At 48.3% G+C, this 19,545-nt stretch overlaps 1 protein-coding gene across 4 annotated transcripts in view, besides 4 other annotated features; it reads right to left on the bottom strand.

Moving 5' to 3' along the window:
* RNF4 (ring finger protein 4) overlaps window positions 1-19,545 on the bottom strand; it is a 46,752-nt gene that overhangs the window by 12,373 nt on the left and 14,834 nt on the right. For all 4 annotated transcript variants that reach the window (XM_047416062.1, NM_002938.5, NM_001185010.3 and 1 more), the window contains 3 exons: window positions 12,983-13,148; window positions 6,364-6,478; window positions 2,747-2,826 (listed from right to left, as the gene is read on the bottom strand). In XM_047416062.1, coding sequence (XP_047272018.1) covers window positions 2,747-2,826; window positions 6,364-6,478; window positions 12,983-12,991 — 204 coding nt within the window. In that variant the 5' untranslated portion in view covers window positions 12,992-13,148. The remainder of the gene's footprint in view (window positions 1-2,746; window positions 2,827-6,363; window positions 6,479-12,982; window positions 13,149-19,545) is intronic.
* Window positions 13,171-13,951: an enhancer, noted in NCBI's record as "H3K27ac-H3K4me1 hESC enhancer chr4:2491261-2492041 (GRCh37/hg19 assembly coordinates)". NCBI's record gives its function as "activates a minimal SCP1, AML or CMV promoter by ChIP-STARR-seq in naive H9 embryonic stem cells {active_cell/tissue: H9 hESC(naive)}" and the evidence as "EXISTENCE:reporter gene assay evidence [ECO:0000049][PMID:30033119]".
* Window positions 15,303-15,412: an enhancer, noted in NCBI's record as "active region_21177". NCBI's record gives its function as "activates an Ori minimal core promoter by ATAC-STARR-seq in GM12878 lymphoblastoid cells {active_cell/tissue: GM12878}" and the evidence as "EXISTENCE:reporter gene assay evidence [ECO:0000049][PMID:35858748]".
* Window positions 16,916-17,417: an enhancer, noted in NCBI's record as "H3K27ac hESC enhancer chr4:2487795-2488296 (GRCh37/hg19 assembly coordinates)". NCBI's record gives its function as "activates a minimal SCP1, AML or CMV promoter by ChIP-STARR-seq in primed H9 embryonic stem cells {active_cell/tissue: H9 hESC(primed)}" and the evidence as "EXISTENCE:reporter gene assay evidence [ECO:0000049][PMID:30033119]".
* Window positions 17,921-18,200: an enhancer, noted in NCBI's record as "active region_21176". NCBI's record gives its function as "activates an Ori minimal core promoter by ATAC-STARR-seq in GM12878 lymphoblastoid cells {active_cell/tissue: GM12878}" and the evidence as "EXISTENCE:reporter gene assay evidence [ECO:0000049][PMID:35858748]".

The raw sequence follows: 19,545 nt of genomic DNA, 5'->3' as shown, positions 1-19,545 counted from the left end.
CCAGTAGATCTGAGAGACCAGAACCTAGGACTCCTGCTTCCCAAGCCAGGAGCGTCTCCCTTTTACCTATCAGCTCTCCCTCTGGCCACCCATCCACTTTCCAGGGTAGCTCCCTCAACACCAATATTCCTGGTCCCCGGGTCTCCCAATGACTGCAGATCTTATAAAGGTTAACCAGACAGCCCCAGGTTAATTGGGAGTAGGACTGCCAACATGGAGCCCTAGCCCAGGGAAACAGAAGAAAGGTAGGGAAGTTCAGAGAGGAAGCCCTTTTAGCAAGAGCAGCTTAGTCATCAAAACAAAACAAAGCTGGCCAGTGTGGTGGCTCACACCTGTAATCCTAGTGCTTTGGGAGGCTGAGGTGGGTGACTGCTTGAGCCCAGGAGTTCAAGACCAGCCTGGGCATCACAGTGAGACCCTGTCTCTACAAAAATATTAAAAAATCACCACCACCACCCGACCCAAATTTAGTAGTGTATGGTGGCATGCACCTGTAGTCTCAGCTACTCAGGAGGATAATGTGGGAGAATCACTTAAGCTCAGGGGTTGGAGGCTGCAGTAAGGTGTGATCATGCCACTGCTCTCTAGCCTGGGCAACAGAGTGAGACCCTGTTTCTTTTCTTTTCTTTTTTTTTTTTTTTGAGACAGAGTCTTGCTCTGTCGCCCAGGCTTGAGTGCAGTGGCGCGATCTTGGCTCACTGCAACCTCCGCCTCCTGGGTTCAAGTAATTCTCCTGCCTTAGCCTCCCGAGTAGCTGGGATTACAGGTATGCATCATCACACCTGGCTAATTTTTGTATTTTTTTTTTTTTTTGAGATGGAGTCTCACTCTGTTGCCCGGGCTGGAGTGCAGTGACGTGATCTCGGCTCACTGCAACCTCTGATTCCTGGGTTCAAGCGATTCTCCTGCCTTAGCCTCCTGAATAGCTGGGACTACAGGCGTCCGCATAATTTTTGTATTTTTAGTAGAGACAGGGTTTCACCATGTTGGCCAGGCTGATGTCAAACTCCTGACCTTGTGGTCCGCCCACCTCGGCCTCCCAAAGTGCTGAGATTACAGGCGTGAGCCACCGCGCCCAGCCTGAGACCCTGTTTCTAAAGCAAAAGAAAACACAAGTGTGAAAGGGGAAATGATGTTGGTTTGTCAGCCAACAAAAGCCAATCAATCATTGTCTTCCTGCAGTCAAAATCCTAGCTCTCTCCTCAGGGTCTGGCAGAGAGAAGGCCAAGAAGACTGTGGTGAACACTGAGTATTCAAGAAAAACAAAAAACAAAAAACAAAAAAACTTCTGCAGACACCACTTTCCAGCTTTAATGAGCAACTGGTGAAACCAAGGTGTCAGCTGGGAAAAAGAAAGAGGGGAAAAATCAGTGACTGTGCTGTAGCTGCCAGCTAATATACCAAATTAGTTATCTTTCCAGAACTCCATGCAGGACACAGGGATGATAAGCAAAGTCATATGTGTGTATGTACCTCAGAAAACACGTTAATGAGACCTAAGCAGGGACCACGTACAACTAAACCCACTGCTGCTTATCTCAGATGGTTTTCCATCCCTGTCCTTTTCTTTGCATTGAAGTCTTGAAACTTCTCAGTATAACCCTATTCTGAAGTTCTCAGCACAACTAAGAAGCAACACCTATGGGGTGTCCCTATTCAGATACCCAGGCATCAGCCAAACAGGATAACCCCAACACCAGTGAGCCCAGGGCCAAGGCGAAGACTCAGCTACTAGCAGCCCCCACACCCCACAGTCCTCCTCAGCAGCACTTACCACCCCACTGCCAATGCTGCCAAGTGTGCCCCCACCCCGACCTGTGTTCCGAGCACACTGTCAGAAAACACTCAAGTGGCATCTTCCAGAGGCAAACTTGCCCTTAAGATGCTGACCAGATTCCCAGACCTGCATGCACCATGAAACAGGTCTATCAGAAATAGCTTCTCCGTGTGTCCTCTGACCAGACAAGGCCTCCCTCCTGGCAGGCAGGACACGTATACACACGTCCCCTGCAGTCTGTAACCGGTGCCATGAGACAGGGACACAGGCAGCCTCCTGGGCTCCAGCCTCCCTGGCATCAGGACGCAGCAGGCATCAGGTGGCAATGCAGGGAGCCTGCATCCCCTGAGGCCATGCTAAGTAGCAGGCACTTTTGGAACTTGAGAGATTTCCCATGGGCAGTGCTGAGCCAACGTTCCCTTTCCTTTCAGTTGGGAGGGCATACACTCACAGTGACTGGGCACCATTCTAGGTGTCAGGCACTCAAACACGGCATCTGTTGTAAGATGTCTTACACCATGCCCTGCTGACATGAGTGACCTGTCCCCATTTCATGGAAAGTGAATGAGGCTAAGTCACATGCCCAAGGTCACACAGCTGGTGTAAACTGTGGAATCAGGGACTGAAGACAGATGTGGGGGTCTTGAGATTCTCCCCAAACCACTTTTGTGCCCAGGTGTGGCAAGGTCAGGTTACACAGACCTACTCCATAGGCGACAAGGCTATAACAAATGATTTTCCAGAAACATTTTTCATTTTGGGCTCTCGTCACTGAATGCATGAACTTCTTTGTTATTATTATTGTTACTGTTTATTTTCTTTCTAAAAGCTCAATTCCACAAGATGCATGAACTTCTTTAGCATAAGCTGTAACCTTGACTTGGAGTCTGTGACCAAGGCTGTCAGATGCTGGCACTGGCCAGGGACCCATACCCAAGAAACAGCCGACTCTCACACTCCAACACTTACCACAACAGAGTCATTGTGAGTCAGATCAACCACCACAGGCTCTAAAGATTCACAAGTGAGGTCCACAATTTCATCTCCAGCTTCAAAAGAAAGTATTTCAACAAGCATTAAGATTAAGAGGAAAGTAAGGTTGTATCCCTCTACACTTTAGTATGACTGCTAATGTTATAGGCTTACCCCAAACTAAAACAATCCTGAAGTATACACTGCAAAGAGCACCAGGACCAACACCTCCCTCAGGAGGGAAAGCCAGTAACCACCCTTCCAGAATTCTGCTCTGAGTGGGGAGGTATGGTTTTTACAAATGTACCTGGGGGGTTATGTATGTGTGCGCATGTGCATACCTCTATTCCACGGCATCCCACTTCCACACGGCTATGCCTCTGTGCCCCATCTGGGAGAACGCACCATGCATGCCCAGCCCCAGGCCTTTCTCTTTGGGATGGACTAGCCTGAAACCTCTGCTCCTCCCAGCAGGTGAAGCTGACCACTCTCACTTGGCCCAAGGACCAAAAGTCAGGCTTAGCTTAGTAACTTCATCGGTTAATCTAGGGCAAATTCTTTTTTTTTTTTTTTTTTTTTGAGACAGAGTCTCGCTCTGTCGCCAAGGCTGGAGTGCAGTGGTGCGATCTTGGCTCACTGCAACCTCCGCCTCCTGGGTTCAAGCAATTCTCTGTCTCAGCCTCCCGAGTAGTTGGGATTACAGGCGCCTGGCAGCATGCCTGGCTAATTTTGTTTGTATTTTTAGTAGAGATGGGGTTTCACCATCTTGGCCAGGCTGGTCTTGAACTCCTGACCTTGTGATCCACCCACTTCAGTCTTCCAAAGTGTTGGGATTACAGGCGTGAGCCACCGTGCCCGGCCAAGGACAAACTTTTAATTTCCATTTATCTCTCAAGTTTGTCTCCCTAGTTGGATGGAGAATAACAGTGATATATACTGATAGCTAGAACCTCAACATACAAAATGGGTTGCATCTGTTGTGAAGCTTGCCTTTCAGCCCTTAGGGTATACTGTGATGTCTACATGTGCACAGGATAAAGGTGAGAAGGACATGGACCAAACAGTTAACGTACAACTTCCATTTATATAAAGTAAAAAATGACGCACAACCATTTTTATTTCTGATTACTATTAATATTAATATTAAAAAGCACGGAATGGGCCAGGCACAGTGGTTCACACCTGTAATCCCAGCACTTTGGGAGGCTGAGGTGGGCGGATCACCTGAGGTTGAGAGTTCGAGACCAGCCTGACCAACATGGAGAAACTCCGTTTCTACTAAAAATACAAAATTAGCGAGGTGTGGTGGCACATGCCTGTAATCCCAGCTACTCGGGAGGCTGAGGCAGGAGAATTGCTTGAACCCCGGGATGCAAAGATCACGCCACTGCACCCCAGCCTGGGCAACAAGAGCAAAACTCCATCTCAAAAACAAACAAACAACAACAACAACAAAACACTAAATGAAGTTTTTTAAGAAACAGTATTGGTCTAATATTTGGGGAAAGTGTCTTGTAATGCATTTAACTTTTTTTTTTTGAGACAGAGTCTCGCTCTGTCGTCCAGGCAGGAGTGCAGTGGCACGATCTCGGCTCACTGCAACCTCTGCCTCCCAGGTGCAAGTGATTCTCCTGCATCAACCTCCCAAGTAGCTGGGATTACAGGCGCCCGCCACCACGCCCGTCTAATTTTTGCATTTTTAGTAGAGATGGGGTTTCGCCATGTTGGCCAGGCTGGTCTTGAACTCCTGACCTCAGGTGATCTGCACGCCTCGGCCTCCCAAAGTGCTGGGATTATAGGAGCCAGCCATGGCGCCCAACCCAACGTAACTTCTTTTATTTATTTTTTAGGTGGGGTCTTGCTGTTGCCCAGGCTAGAGTGCAGTGGCACGATCACGGCTCACTGCAGCCTCAATGTTCCAGGCTCAAGTGATCCTCCTACCTCAGCCTCCCACACTTGGCTAATTTTTTTATTTATAGAGACAGGGTCTCACTATGTTGTCCAGGCTGGTCTGGTACTCCTGGGCTCAAGCAATCTGGCTGGCCTGTTTTATTTTCTTGTATCATAAAGTTTCACAAGAATAAAAACCGTGATAATCTTACATATACAATATAATTTATATAAAATTATTGCATTCTTTATTAAAAAGAAGGGCTGTCCAACAGTCCATATACTGATATACAACAATTTATTGAACCATTCTCTTTCTGGTGAACACAATTCTGGGCTCTTACAAAAACAGTGCTCTAGGCCAGGCGGGTGGCTCAGGCCTGTAATCCCAGCACTTTGGGAGGCCAAGGCAGGTGGATAATCTGAGGTCAGGAGTTCGAGATCAGCCTGACTGACATGGTGAAACCCCGTCTCTACTAAAAATACAAAAAAAATTTAGCCGGGTGTGGTGGTGGGCGCCTATGATCCCAGCTACTTGGGAAGCTGAGGCAGGAGACTTGCTTAAACCTGGGAGGCAGAGGTTGCAGTGAGCCGAGATCACGCGATTGCACTCCAACCTGGCTGACAGAACGAAACTCTGCCTCAAACAGAAACAAAAACAAAACAGTGCTCTAATGGGCAGCCCTAAGTACACACAGGGGTAAGACTGCCTAGAGGATGACAAGTGCCATGACGGAAAGCAGTTCGTTCCTTTTTGGTCTAGAGCCAGGATCCTAGCCTCAAGTCAAGGCTTTCAAGAACTCATTTGTAGAAGTGAAACTCAGAGACCATATAGAGAACTTCATTTCTCCTGGGGGGCCCATGAAATTTATCTTGCACTAAGTTTCTTCTGTTTAAAACGCGAGTTTGCATGGCCGGGTGCAGTGGCTCACGCCTGTAATACCAGCACTTTGGGAGGCCGAGACGGGTGGATCACAAGGTCAGGAGATCGAGACCATCCTGGCTAACATGGTGAAACCCTGTCTCTATTAAAAATACAAAAAATTAGCCGGGTGTGGTGGCGGGTGCCTATAGTCCCAGCTACTTGGGAGGCTGAGGCAGGAGAATGGCGTGAACCCAGGATGTGGAGCTTGCAGTGAGCCGAGACTGCACCACTACACTCTAGCTTGGGCGACAGAGCAAGACTCTATCTCAAAAATAAATAAGTAAAAATAAAATGCCAGTTTGCAGGTATCCTAGTTATAAAAACAATATATGCAGAGCAAAGGGACTTAGGCCAGCCATCAACCACTTCTTGAGCAGGCAGAAGGGGAAATCCAATCTGGCCTCTGCCTATACCAAGCTCCAACACAGGGAGCTCTGTGGACAAGTTTGCCTTCTTGGGTGATTTCATGTCCTAATGAAAAACAGAAGAGGAAAGCGAAGTACTTTACAAGGTCCAGCAATTGGGGATGCAGTTTCAGATAGAAAAGGTGGGCTATCTCATTTGCGCTAGATTTTTTTTTAAATGGATCCTACCCCACTGCTGCACATTACCAGAGTTGAACAGTTAGCCCAGTTGAGAAGCTATTTCAGAATCTGTGAAGCTTTGAGTTGTACATGGTGAGTGTGAGACTGCATAGGCCTTCTAAAGACACTGAAAGCACCTTCTACTAGCTCACCCTGGTACAGTGTTCTCTCTCCACTTTAACACCCCACAGTTGTAGTGTCCCTGGCAATCTTACCAGTTTCCACGAGTTCTATGGGTTCTGCTTCCAAGGAGATCTCGGGGGTGGAGGTTGCTTCCCGAGTTCGCTTCTGAGCTTGTCTAGAATTTATTGCTCCACCACGACGCTTTCTCTGAGTAGCAAGGGGGAAAGAAGAGTCACATGAACACCAGAATGTCAGGGTTTCAGGAAGAACTAAATGGGCAATAGAAATGGTTCACTTCATTAAGAAGCCAGCGAGTAGACTTGAAGTTAGGGCTCCTTTCAAAACTTGAGATTCAAGAATACTGAATGCTTACGGAGAGAGAAACCATCCAAAACATAAAATGAGTAGAAATTCCAGAAAGTAAAACTTCTGTTTTATCAAACTATCAGCAGGTCGGCTGGGCATGGTGGCTCACACCTGTAATCCCAGCACTTTCGGAGGCTGAGGTGGGCGAATCATGAGGTGAGGAGTTCAAGGTCAGCCTGGCCAACATGGTGAAGCCTCATCACTACTGAAAATACAAAAGTTAGCTGGGCGTGGTGGCAGGCACCTGTAATCCCAGCTACTCCAGAGGCTGAGGCAGGAGAATCACTTGAACCTGGGAGGCAGAGGTTGCAGTGAGGCGAGATCGCGTCACTGTACTCTAGCCCGGGTGACAGTGTGAGACTCCATCTCAAAAAAACTATCAGCAGGTCAAAAGGGACACGATGCATCCCTTTACAAAAGCTTGAGGCCAAGTCAGGATTTGGACTTGGTAGTGGATGCCCTGGCCAAAAGGCTGGAAACTCTTCCCTTTAACCAAAAGTTATCAATTTCTCTTCCTTGACTTTGTGTTCAGCCTTTCTGAGCCCTTTTTGTTTCTTAGCATAAAGAACTTGGAGTTTTCTGAGTTTCTATACATTGTGGAAAGCTTATCTTCCCCTGGGAAATGTGGCCTTGAACCTTTCAGGGCACTATCAACTGTGATTCACACCAGACAATCACTCCCCACAAAGAACTCAAAGAACCAAAGCTGTTTTAAGCCTGTTCCCAGTGGCTACCCAAGAGCCATGTCTTCCGGAAAGTTCAGGCTCTCAGCTGGTTGATAAGCAACTGACACTCTGACCAGCCTTTCTTCCAAATCCTTAGGCTGCTGGTTTGCCAATATGCTCCAGCATTTCTGGTCTGCCTGGTCCCAAAAGACAAGCTGAGAATATCCTCCACCTTAATCAAGAGACAGAGCTGGCCAGGCGCAGTGGCTCAGGCCTGTAATCCCAGCACTTTGGGAGGCAGAGGCAGGCGGATCACCAGAGGTCAGGAGTTCAAGATCAGCCTGGGCAACACGGTGAAACCCGTCTCTACTAAAAATACAAAATTAGCTGGGCGTGGTGGCACATGCCTGTAATCCCAGCTACTCGGGAGGCTGAGGCAGGAGAATCACTTGAACCTGGGAGGTGGAGGATGCGGTGAGCCGAGATTGTGCCATTGCACTCCAGCCTGGGCAACAAGAGTAAATCTCCATCTCACCCCCCCCCAAAAAAAAAAGAGCTTCCCAACAGAGCCTGTCACCTTGTATTCCCACTGGTGTTTCCGTGCTCTTCTCCCTGTGCCCTGTCCTGCTATCCTTTGCACTGGACAACCTGGGACAAGTACTGCACTACTAAGTCTCAAGTTCCTCACCAGTACCAGCCTTGCAGAGCTGTTATAAGGTCTAAATGAGATCATGTATGTAAAGTACTGCGCAGAGACGGAAGATGCTACTACTATCCCAATTCCTTAGCCTTACTAGGGTCAATCTGTCCCAGGAAACTCTGAAAGGACCAGATATTGCAGGAGAGATTCATACAAGATCCAGGAACACCCACCATCCAGCCAAGCCCTCGCTAGGCAACAGGGATAAGCCTGATTCTGTGTTCCAATGCTACTCTTATCAAATGGCAGCTTGAGATGTTTTGGAAATGAAGCTGGGTCTAGTAACTTCCCACGGACTAAGGAGCACAGAACCAGCCCCAGGAGGGCCCAGAGGCCAAGCGACAGCAGCCAAAACTCCCAAGTGAGCAGCTGCTCTTGGCCTCAAGGGAGCTGACACTAACCTCAGTGGAGTTCTACTGCCCAGTGTTTTAAGGGTTTCCCCAGCAGCCACCAGGTTGCTTATGTAAAAAGTAAAGTAGAGGTTCCTCTTCAAAGACTTTCCTCCCCATCTAATTAGAAATAAATAGTAACTTCTCTTAAAAGCAAAATTTATTCAAAGACCTGTACTAACATTCTTAAATATCTGCTAGCCATAATAAAGAAATCAATGTACTTTATATTCTTAGCTCCCACAATTTAGCCTAAATATTTACCTTGGCATGCTTATATTAGTCCAAGCAAGCATTAGATCATAGCCTGTTCCTCTTCCTTATTTAAAGGTTATTTTTACCTTTTTCAGCATTCCACAAGTTACTTCCTCCTTCCTTTATTCTCCTCTGCCTTTGCCTCTTTTCAAAAGTTCTGGCCAGGTGTGGTGGCGCATGCCTGTAATCCCAGCACTTTGGGAGGCTGAGGCGGGCGGATCACAAGGTCAGAAGATCGAGACCATCCTGGCTAACACGTAGAAACCCCATCTCTACTAAAAAATACAAAAAAAATTAGCCAGGCGTGGTGGCGGGCACCTGTAGTCCCAGCTACTTGGGAGGCTGCGGCAGGAGAATGGTGTGAACCCGGGAGGTGGAGCTTGCAGTGACCCCGAGATCATGCCACTGCACTCCAGCCTGGGCGACAGAGTGAGACTCTGTCTCCAAAAAAAAAAAAAAAAAAAAGTTCTAAGTTGCTAGCCAATTGGGACAAATACAGAATGTGAGGTCCTGTTCCAGCCAATAAAAACTGGATACAGCAGCAGAGTAAACACATCAAGTTATAAATAACCCTGTCTCCTTTATTCAATGTATTCTCATGGCAAAACAACTGGTGAGTGTACCCTTTCTGCAGAAAGTATAAATATGGCCTTGCTAAAAAAAATTGAATTTACGTTCAAATGCTATTTCTTTACAGCACCAGAAAACAAGCATTTCAAACACTTAGGACTCTTTAATATTTACCCCATTCTCGTGGATCACGAGGTCAGGAGTTCAAGACCAGCCTGGCCAAGATGCTGAAACCCCGTCTCTACTAATAACACAAAAAGTAGCTGGGCGTGGTGGCATGCACCTGTAGTCCCAGCTACTCGGGAGGCTGAGGCAGGAGAATCGCTTGAACCCGGGCAGCAGAGGTTGCAGTGAGCCAATATTGCATCCACTGCACTCCAGCCTGGGCGACAGAGCAAGACTCTGTCTCAAAATAATAATAATAAATAAATGAAAATATTTACCCCATTCTCTTTGACAATGTCCTTTGTCCTCGTATAGGCTCCTTCCCTTGTAGCCAAGTCTTTTTTTTTTTTTTTTTTTTTTAAGACGGAGTCTCACTCTGTTGCTCAGGCAGGAGTGCAGTGGAATGATCTCGGCTCACCACAACTTCTGCCTCCCAGGTTCAAGCGATTCTCCTGCCTCAGCCTCCCGAGTAGCTGGGATTACAGGCACCCGCCACTGTGCTTAGCTAATTTTTTTGTATTTTTAGTGGAAACGGGGTTTCACCATGTTGGCCAGGCTGGTCTCGAACTCCTGACCTTGTGATCCACCATGCCCAGCCTGTAGCAGACCAAGTCTTTCTTACTAGGCACTGCTAAGCAGACCTCCATGTCCCACAGCTACCTGTGTGGTTTCTGGGCCCCACTGAGGGAGCCAAGAAAGCAGCCATGGGTCCTGGACCCAAAATCTCCCCTCACGGATAATTACAGGAATGTCCCCACCCCTCCCTAACCTCAGGAATCCTCTTTTCTGCCTGCTCTATCGACCCCTCCATGCCTTTAACCAGAGCTTCTTCCCTGCCTGGAGTGCCTGTCCCTCCCTTTCTTTACTTGGCCAATTCTTGCACAGCTTTCCAGAACCCACTCAAATGTCACCTCCTTCCTGAGGACATCCTTTACCCTCCCACTCTGCTGTCTCTGAGCCTCCTCCTCCCAAGTAGCTTCCCTGCACCACTCAAGACAGGCTCAATCAATCCAGGAATATCTGCAGAGCTCCCCACTCTGGCCCTCCCATAATTCTGGTCATAATTCTCTTCCTTTTCACTAGCAGGGCCCTCAGAGGTCCATAGCTTTTGGTGAAAACTGACCATCCTATCACAACCACATAAGCTATAACCACACCGTAACTTTCAGGAATTTTAACCAATTTCTTCACACACATGCACAAAAGGCTACATTGTTTTGCCTGTTCTGATCTGGCCTAAGCAGAGATGGGTTAAGGCTTAAAGCACCTATTTCCCCATAGGTGAGCTACATGGTAACCTGCAGGTGAAGCACCAAGGTGGGAGGTCAAAGAAGTGGGCTTTTTTGTGTATCACCATCAAAAGTGGGCCCTGGAGCACAATGGCGGCCAGGAAGTAACAGAAGAGGGTGAGGACCCAAAAGGCTCAGAGGGTGTGACCAGCATTTCCATCACTGTTCCCTCTGACAGCTGTTTGTTCAGTCTCACCTGTCCCCACCATCCATCTTCCCATACCATTCACAGTACTTCTGGAGCACTGGAAGAAATCAGCAGGCTATTTCACATCTGGTCTGTCTGACAAGGAATTCAGGATCTCAGACAACAGATGTTTTGAGTTTAGATCATTTGAACAAACTTGCAGTGAGAACTCTGTCAGTAGAGAATAAACTGGGACAGGGGGACCTTCAGGTAATCTCCTCGAGAGCTCAAGGGGTTCCAGGAGACACCTGAATTACACCAAACCAGAGCTGTCTCACAGATGTGATAAAAGCTCTAAACAGTCTGGGTATTGTCGCTCACTCTGGGAGCCTAGGTGGGAGGACTGCTTGAAGCCAGGAGTTCAAGATCAGCCTGGGTAATAAAGTAAGACTCCATGCCTACAAAAATGATTTTTCTTTTTTTTTTTTTTGAGATGGAGTCTTGCTCTGCCCCCAGGCTGGACTGCAGTGGCACGATCTCAGCTCACTGCAAGCTCCGCCTCCCAGGTTCATGCCATTCTCCTGCCTCAGCCTCCTGAGTAGCTGGGACTACAGGCGCCCGCCAACTATGCCTGGCTAATTTTTTGTATTTTTAGTAGAGACGGGGTTTCACCGTGTTAGCCAGGATGGTCTTGATCTCCTGACCTCGTGATCCGCCCACCTCGGCCTCCCAAAGTGCTGGGATTACAGGCATAAGCCACCGCACCTGGCCAATTTTTTCTTAAAAATTGGCCAGGTGCGGTGGTGCATGCCTATGATCCCAACTACTCAGGATGCTGAGGTGAAAGGATTGCTTGACTCCAGGAGTTGGAGACTGCAGTGAGCTATGATCACACCACTGCACTCCAGACTGGGAGACTGAGTGAGACCCTGTCTCTTAAAAACAAATAAAAACGGCTGGGTGCGGTGGCTCATGCCTGTCATCCTAGCACTTTGGGAGGCCAAGATCACTTGAGGTCAGGAGTTTGAGACCAGCCTGGCCAACATGGTGAAATCACATCTCTACTAAAAATACAAAATCAGCTGGGTGTGGTGGTAGGTGCCTGTAATCCAAGCTACTCCGGAGGCTGAGGCAGGAGAGTCGCTTGAACCTGGGAGGCGGAGGTTGCAGCAAGCCGAGATGGTACCACTGTACTCCAACCTGGGCAACAGACTCCATCTCAAAAAACAAACCAAAATAGCCTGGCCAACATGGCAAAAACTGGTCTCTATTAAAAATACAAAATTAGCTGGGCGGGGAGGTGCATGCCTGTAATCGCAGCTATGTGGGAGGCTGAGGCACAAGAATCACTTGAACCCAGAACGTGGAGGTTGCAGTGAGCCGAGGTCGGGCCACTGCACTCCAGGCTGGGTGACAGAGCGAGACCCTGTTTCAAAAACAAACAAACAAAAGCGCTAAACAGTAATTATAATGACGAATCAACTTTGGTCAGTGAATATAAGAAACTTTTCACTATGGATTATTACTACCATGCTCACACTGAATGAACCAAGAATGTCACAGGGAAACAAAACAGACGGGAAAACAGAAAACTGGGTTGCAAATACTTTATAGAGTCTCACTCAGTCATCCTGCCGAAATGCAGTGGTGTGATCATAGCTAGCCTTGAACTCTTGGGCTCAAGGAATCTTCCTGCCTCAGCCTCCCAAGTAGCTGGGACTACAGGTGCGCCCCACCACGCCTGGCTACATTTTGTTTGTTTGTAGAGATGGGGCCTATGTTGCCCTGGCTGGTCCTAGGCTCAAGTAATCTTTTTACCTTCACGCCTCCAAGTGTTGAGATTACACATGAGCCACCATGCCCAGTCTACAAACAATTTTAAAAAGCAAAAAGTTTTAGTATTTCTATGACACTGACAACTGTTGTGAAGGTCTGAGATTACCAAACCCTAAGCTATTCCTTCTCAGCCTTTTGTCTTCAGGGCTCTGCCCTTTATGACTCGAATGTAGCTCAATGTCGGTAAGTAAGCTGATGTAACCACCAGAAAGCTCCTATACATACTCCTTCAAGAAGTGGGGTTACTTAGAAGTGACATTATGGAACTCACTTTCACTAATGTGCTACAAGGAATAAGGTAGTTAATTAGCCCTACAAAATTAAAAATTCAAGAGATGATAAAACTTACTGTACTCATTGTGCTCTTTGGTGCCTTTCCTTTCCTACAGAAAAGGAAGTGATCTATACCAAGGTTTGCAGGGAAGTCAAATGTTCTCAACCTTTCATGCCCTCTGGTTACTCATCTGGCTTGCAAAATAATTTGGATCCGGACAGATTTCCAGTATTTTCAAGTCCTGAAAAACAAAGATATTAATTTGATAAATACTGCCACTTACATCATTGAAACAAAGCTGAGCTCAATAATGTACTGGTCCTTCCTGTCCCTAGGTTATTTGCTTACTATTTCACGCAATGACATCCTTAATCCTATATTCATCTTAGGAAGTAAGCATTCTTGTCGCATGTAGGACTTCCTGATCCCAAAGCCTGCAATTGTAATTATTATGCCACCTCCTACTCTTCTTCCTGGCTCCTGCCACCTTGGCAAGGTACCGTGCTAACTGCTGGGAGGAGGTGCGAGTCAGGACTGCCACACATGACCACACCAACTCCTCAGGAACCAGAAGGGAAGGGACAGAGCTTCTGAGGCCACAGCTCAGAGCCTCAGGTTCTTCCCACAATTTCACTGTCGCCGTCCGGAGTTGAGAAGACAAGAGCCACTCACTCTAAAGCATGTTGTGTGTCCAGCTGAGACTTCTGTTGCTGGGACCAGGTGAATGGTGAATCGGGAGGCTGTGGACTAGGCAGCCAAGCAGAAGCTTTGAGGAAAGGCAGAGAAATCACCAGATGCAGAGGCTGCGAGGCCCTTGGACTTCACTGAGAAGCGAGGCCGACCACGGTAAACTCAGCGTCAGCGACGCATGGTTAATGGAGCCACAAAGCCCTGAGCACAGGCAAGCCTGAGGGTTGAGAGAGAGCCAAAGCAAGGACAAGACCCTTGTGGCCACCCACTGCTGGGTGCTAGTGGCTTAGATTAGGAGAGTGCTTCTCAAGCATGAGCCTGTATCAGGCTCCCCCACAGAGGGCTCGTTAAGCACAGCCTGCTAGGCCCTCCAATTTACGTATCTAACAAGTTCCCAGGTGCTGCTTCCAGAGACCACACCATGGAACGTACTGAAGTAGCATAACGAGATGGAGTTGCAAAACAGACACAGGTGAGAGGGATCCAGGTGGCGGAAACGACAGGAACGCTCTCACATCCACCCTTCTGTGCATCCCCAGTGCTGTGCCGTGTCATCCTCCTGTGCACCATTACCATGCCTGCTCATGCTGGGTCTCCTGTCCCTGGGTGCCCGTCTACCCTACTGCCAGGCCATCTTTCCGAAACATTTGCCGCAGCAACTTTCCCTGGCTCCTTATCAAGGCCTAACTCCTAAGCATGGTGTGTGGAGCCAGGCTGGCACTGCAATTAGGGCACATCTCTTGAGCCAGGCAACTGAGATTGAAATCCAGGCATCGGCCGGGTGTAGTAGCTCACACCTGTAATCCCAGCACTCTGGGAGGCCAAGGCGGGTGGATCACCTGAGGTCAGGAGTTTGAGACTAGCCTGGCCAATATGGTGAAACCCCGTCTCTACTAGAAAATACAAAAAATTAGCCTGGAGTGGTGGTGGATGCCTGTAATTCCAGCTACTTGGGAGGCTGAGGCAGGAGAATCTCTTGAACCTGGGAGGCAGAGGAGCCGAGATCATGCCATTACACTCCACCCTGGACAACGAGAGCAAAACTCCATCTCAAAAAAATAAATAAATAAATAAAAAATGAAAATAAAATCCAGGCACCTGCAAACCCCAACCTGTGACCTTGGGGCATGGCATTGAACTTCTCTGTGCCCCATTTCCTTATCTATAGAACAGAACTGCACCTACCTTAATGGTGTGTGAGGATTCCAGAAGTTATTACAAGAGAGTGTTTGGAACAGTGCAGGCACACTGGAAAGGCTCAGTGTCTGTGGGCTGACACATACCCATCACCACACTCAGCCCCACAGCACCAGGTTGGCAGTCTCTCCAAATAAACCTTCCCAGTGACCAGCTCCAACCTTCTGCTCAAGCCCTAAAATGCTGTGTGATATCACATCCCACTCAGTTTTTTTTTGTTGTTGTTGTTGTTGTTTTTGAGACGGAGTCTCACTCTGTTGCCCAGACTGGAGTGCAGTGGGCTCACTGCAACCTCCACCTCCCAGGTTCAAGTGATTCTCCTGCCTCAGCCTCCCAGTAGCTGGGACTACAGGCATGTGCCACCACACCAGGCTAATTTTTCTACTTTTAGTAGAGATGGGGTTTCCACCAGGTTGGCCAGGCTGGTCTCGAACTTCTGACCTCAGGTGATCCACTTGCCTCGGCTTCCCAAAGTGCTGGGATTACAGGCATGAGCCACCACGTCTGTCCTCCCACCCAGCTTTAAGAAAGGATGCATACCTCCCCGCCTCATTCACAGTACAGCCCCTGCCCTGGGAATACAGCAATGAGCAAACACAGCCTCTGTGCAGAATCTAGGGCGGGGAGAAGGGTGAGGAGGGTGCTGGCAGGCAGCTATAACGAAGTTAGGAACTAAGTGTGCAAGAAGTACAGGAGGAGAAAGGGAGGCCAGAGTAGGTTTTTCAGGAGATGCCCAAAGGGACCGCCGTCCCAGCTGAGCTGAGCATTTTCTTCAGCACTTGGTCGTCTGGTTCTGAGAAAATGGCATACTGTATCTCACTCCCTGAGCGCCTCATTCTCTAGCTTGACCTCAATGGTTTAGAGGGGAAATCCCCTTCACTGTTTCACTCTAATAAAGGGTGACTTGCATCTCCTTAGGCTGGCCCATACTATGGGACTACGGGTGCTCTCAACAGAATGCACAAATGGGGCAGGCACAGTGGCTCATGCCCTATAACCCCAGCACTTTGGGAAGTTGAAGAGGGAGGATCTCTTGAGCCCAGGAATTGGAAACTAGCTTGGTTAACATGGTGAGATCCTGTCTCTATAAAAAAATTAAAATAATGAGGCTGGGCAGTGGCTCATGCCTGTAATCCCAGCACTCTGGGAGGCTGAGGCAGGCAGATCACTTGAGATCAGGAGTTCAAGACCAGCTTGGCCAACATGGCGAAACCCCGTCTCTACTAAAAATATAAAAATTAGCCGGGTGTGGTGGTGTGCGCCTATAATCCCAGCTACGTAGGAGGCTAAGGCACAAGAATCACTTGAACCCGGGAGGCGGAGGTTGCAATGAGCCAAGATGGCACCACTGCACTCCAGCCTGGCCAACAGAGAGAGACTCTGTCTCAAAAAATAAAAATAAAAACACATTAAAAAAATAGCCAGATGTGACGGTGCACACTTGTAGTCCCAGCTACTCCAGGGGCTGAGACAGGAGGATCACCTGAGCCCAGGAGGTCAAGACTGCAGTGAGCCATGACTGCACCATTGCACTCCAGCCCGGAGCACAAATGCTTCTCAAAGCAACACCTCACCTGGTAAGTGTTCAACTTTAAACAGACATTCAGGGAAGAGGCTCTGGCTAGGAAAAGACTTGTCTAGTTGGTTTCAACAGAGGTGGGAGGTGCCTCGACATCACCTTAGGACTCACAAGATCATTCAGACCACACGACAGTCCCAGATCCACCACATGTCCTGGGTTCTCATATCCACGAATGTTTCTGATCTCAAGAAATATCTTACATTTGGGTGCACATCTATCATATAGGGGCTTGTTCTCCCCGCCACATCAATAGCGTGTCTTAGAATTTAGAAAAGAGAAGCTACTGACAAAGGAAGACAGAGAAATCAGCCTGCAGAGCAAAGGGAAACACCTGATGTCCACACCCAGGCTGTTCCTAAGCCTCTCTCCTCCCACTTCACTGATATTGAGGCTTCCAAATACGGCTGCTGAAGATGTGCCTTGTGGCTGTCCTGGCCTGCACACCCCTCACCACTCTGAAACCAGCCTCCTGCATCCCTGCAGGCCCAGCTAGACCATTACTACTTCCCTGGGAAGCTTTCTGGAGCCCCCTCATTCTCCATGCCCTGGCCCATACAGCAATTCACCCCAAATCTGGTTTTTCTCTCTCTTTTGGGTTTAGTAAGGGTCAGGAGTCAGAGTTCAAAGGAATTTGGAAGGCTGGTCTTGGGGATAAGCCACCAAGAGGCTGGATTTCACCAGGGCACTGAGGTGAGACAGGAGCATTTCCAGCAGAGCATCCCAGCGTGGTGGGGACGTAGAAATGCAGAGTGAATGGAGACCTTAGCGGTCATGGGAAAGTAGCCCTCACCAACTACAAAGGGTTCTGGATCATGCAGGTGAGAGTCCAATGGAATAAGAAAACTAACAACAGCTGAGAGGTGCCTTCTCTGCATCTGCACAAGGCACTGCGCTTCCTAAATATTAATATCACCACATGTGCTCCTCACATCACCCAGTAAGGAAATAAGCACTGTTATGTTCCCCATTTTACCCATGAAGCAGCTAAGGATTAAAGTTAAGGAACTTCCCCAAAGTCATCCACACCTAGTAAACAGAGCCTAGACTTAAACCAGGGCAGTCTGATACCAAGACCCACACCCTCAAATAGGTATGTTAGTGCCAGAATCAAATACATCAATTCCAGAAACTAGCGGGAACACTGACGGTGATTTTTCAGATTTCTCAAATTTAGTGTGTTCCAAAAGGAACCCTTGCCTCCTCCTTCCGCCAACATATACTCCATTTCAAGAAAGGGCCCCACCATCCTCCAGTCTCTCGTCCAGTATGCTCTCACTTAGGTAAGCGCTACGAGGACAAGGCTCTATTTACTTTCTACCTAGCTAAGACCTTACACAAAGCAGATGCTCATATTTATTGAAGGAATAAATGAGGGTAAGAGTGGGGTGTTGATGGCGCCCCTGCCACTGAGAAAAGAGGAGCTGGGGTAGAGAAGTGGTCATTCCTAACTGGGGATGGTCAGGAGAGCCGGATGCTAGGTATTCCTAAAGCTTCCAAGGTGAAAGGAGAAACAACTCACGCCAAGGTATCTAGCTTCTTACTCTGCAAGAATGAGGCCATAAAACCCAATGAGGGAAGGGAGAACAGAAACAGGTGCTGAGTGTAGTTTTAGAAAAGCAGGGTGTGAGACACCCAGGGAGAAAGGGCCCAAGGTAGCTGGAAACTCAAGAGTGAGAACTCGGATGGACGTAGAGATTTCAGAATGTGTGAAAACTTGGGGAGGCAGGTAGATAGAATCTGTAAAAGAGAATTTAAAAGAAACAAAGCTAGGAGAACCTGGAGCCGTCACTCAGACAAAACCTCCTTCTTCAAGGAGGAGGAAGCAGTGAACAGCTGCAATGCACAGGCTGGGGAACTGAAAGGCGGCCAGTGAGCTCAAACACGGAAGTGGGACGCTGGTGACCTAAGCAAGTGGAAGCAGCAGCAAAGGAGTCGCAGTCCCAGCCCAAACGCGCTGAGGATCAAGCCGGGCTGTCTAGAGGAAGCAGTGCTGAATGGGGCCTCAAGTGACAGGAGGAGTTAATTAAGAAACAATGTATGTGGGTGGGGTGGGCGGAAGGGAGCAGGGATGTCCCACACGAGCACTGTGTGGAGGACAACAAAGGTGCCGAGGGTTCCTAACAAGCCTCACTGACTACACCCTCAGGACAGGGCCATCGAGGGTTTTGGGACAGAGATGACATGTTGAGATCTGCATTTAGAGACCATGTCACCTGTGTCTGGTGAGAACAGATGGGAGACTGAACAAGTCAGACTGTAGACCAAGGAGGAGACTCAGGGTAGCCCAGGTGAGAAGAAAGCCATGAGGCTCGGGGTAGTGGCAGAGTATAGGACAGAGAGGTGACTGACGGGATGGAAGCTGGAAGGGCTTTGGGGCTTTCTTCATTCTTATAGATTTATTATTTAAGGTCTAAGTAATTATTCTGTTTTTCTTAGAGGTCCCCCCCAATAAAGCTATTATAAGCACTTCAGATATTGACCCCCCCCACTCTAGCAGGAGTGTGACATATAATTATGTGTATTCATGGTATATATGTATACGATGTGCAGATGCTCCTTGACGTACAATGGGGCTAACTCCCAATAAATCATAAGTTGAAAAATTCTAAATGAAACACTGTAAGTCAGGGACTGTCCGTGTATGCATATGTGCATGTGTCTCTATCATACATAAAGGAGTCTGCTAATGGATAGAGACATACAGGCGGGCAGGAAACAGGAAGAGTGTTAGACTGGAACCAAATTCTATGACCCTATCTCATACCACTGTATTCCTATGAGCAAAGAGTCAGCTGAAAAGGGGCAGTGGGGAGCACAGCAGAACCAGAATGATATCGTAACTCTGCAGCCAGTCCACAGGGAGATGCTCTAACGAGAAGCTCTTCTGTTTAGCCTAGGCCTACACCAGGTACACAGAACCCTCAAACCCCACCTGGGAGGCAGAGTCTGATACAATTACCCACTGAAAATAAGAGACCTGGGTCAGGCATGGTGGCTCACACCTGTAATCCCAGCACTTTGGGAGGCCGAGGCGGGGGGGGATCACCTGAGGCCAGGAGTTCGAGACCAGCCTGAACAATATGGTGAAACCCACCCCCTACTAAAAATACAACAATTAGCTGGGTGTGGTGGTGGGCGCCTGTAATCCCAGCTACTCGGGAACCTGAGG

The sequence above is a fragment of the Homo sapiens genome, chromosome 4 (assembly GCF_000001405.40).
Source record: "Homo sapiens chromosome 4, GRCh38.p14 Primary Assembly".
Lineage (NCBI taxonomy): Eukaryota > Metazoa > Chordata > Mammalia > Primates > Hominidae > Homo > Homo sapiens.
This window is presented reverse-complemented; position numbering and strand designations above follow the sequence as displayed.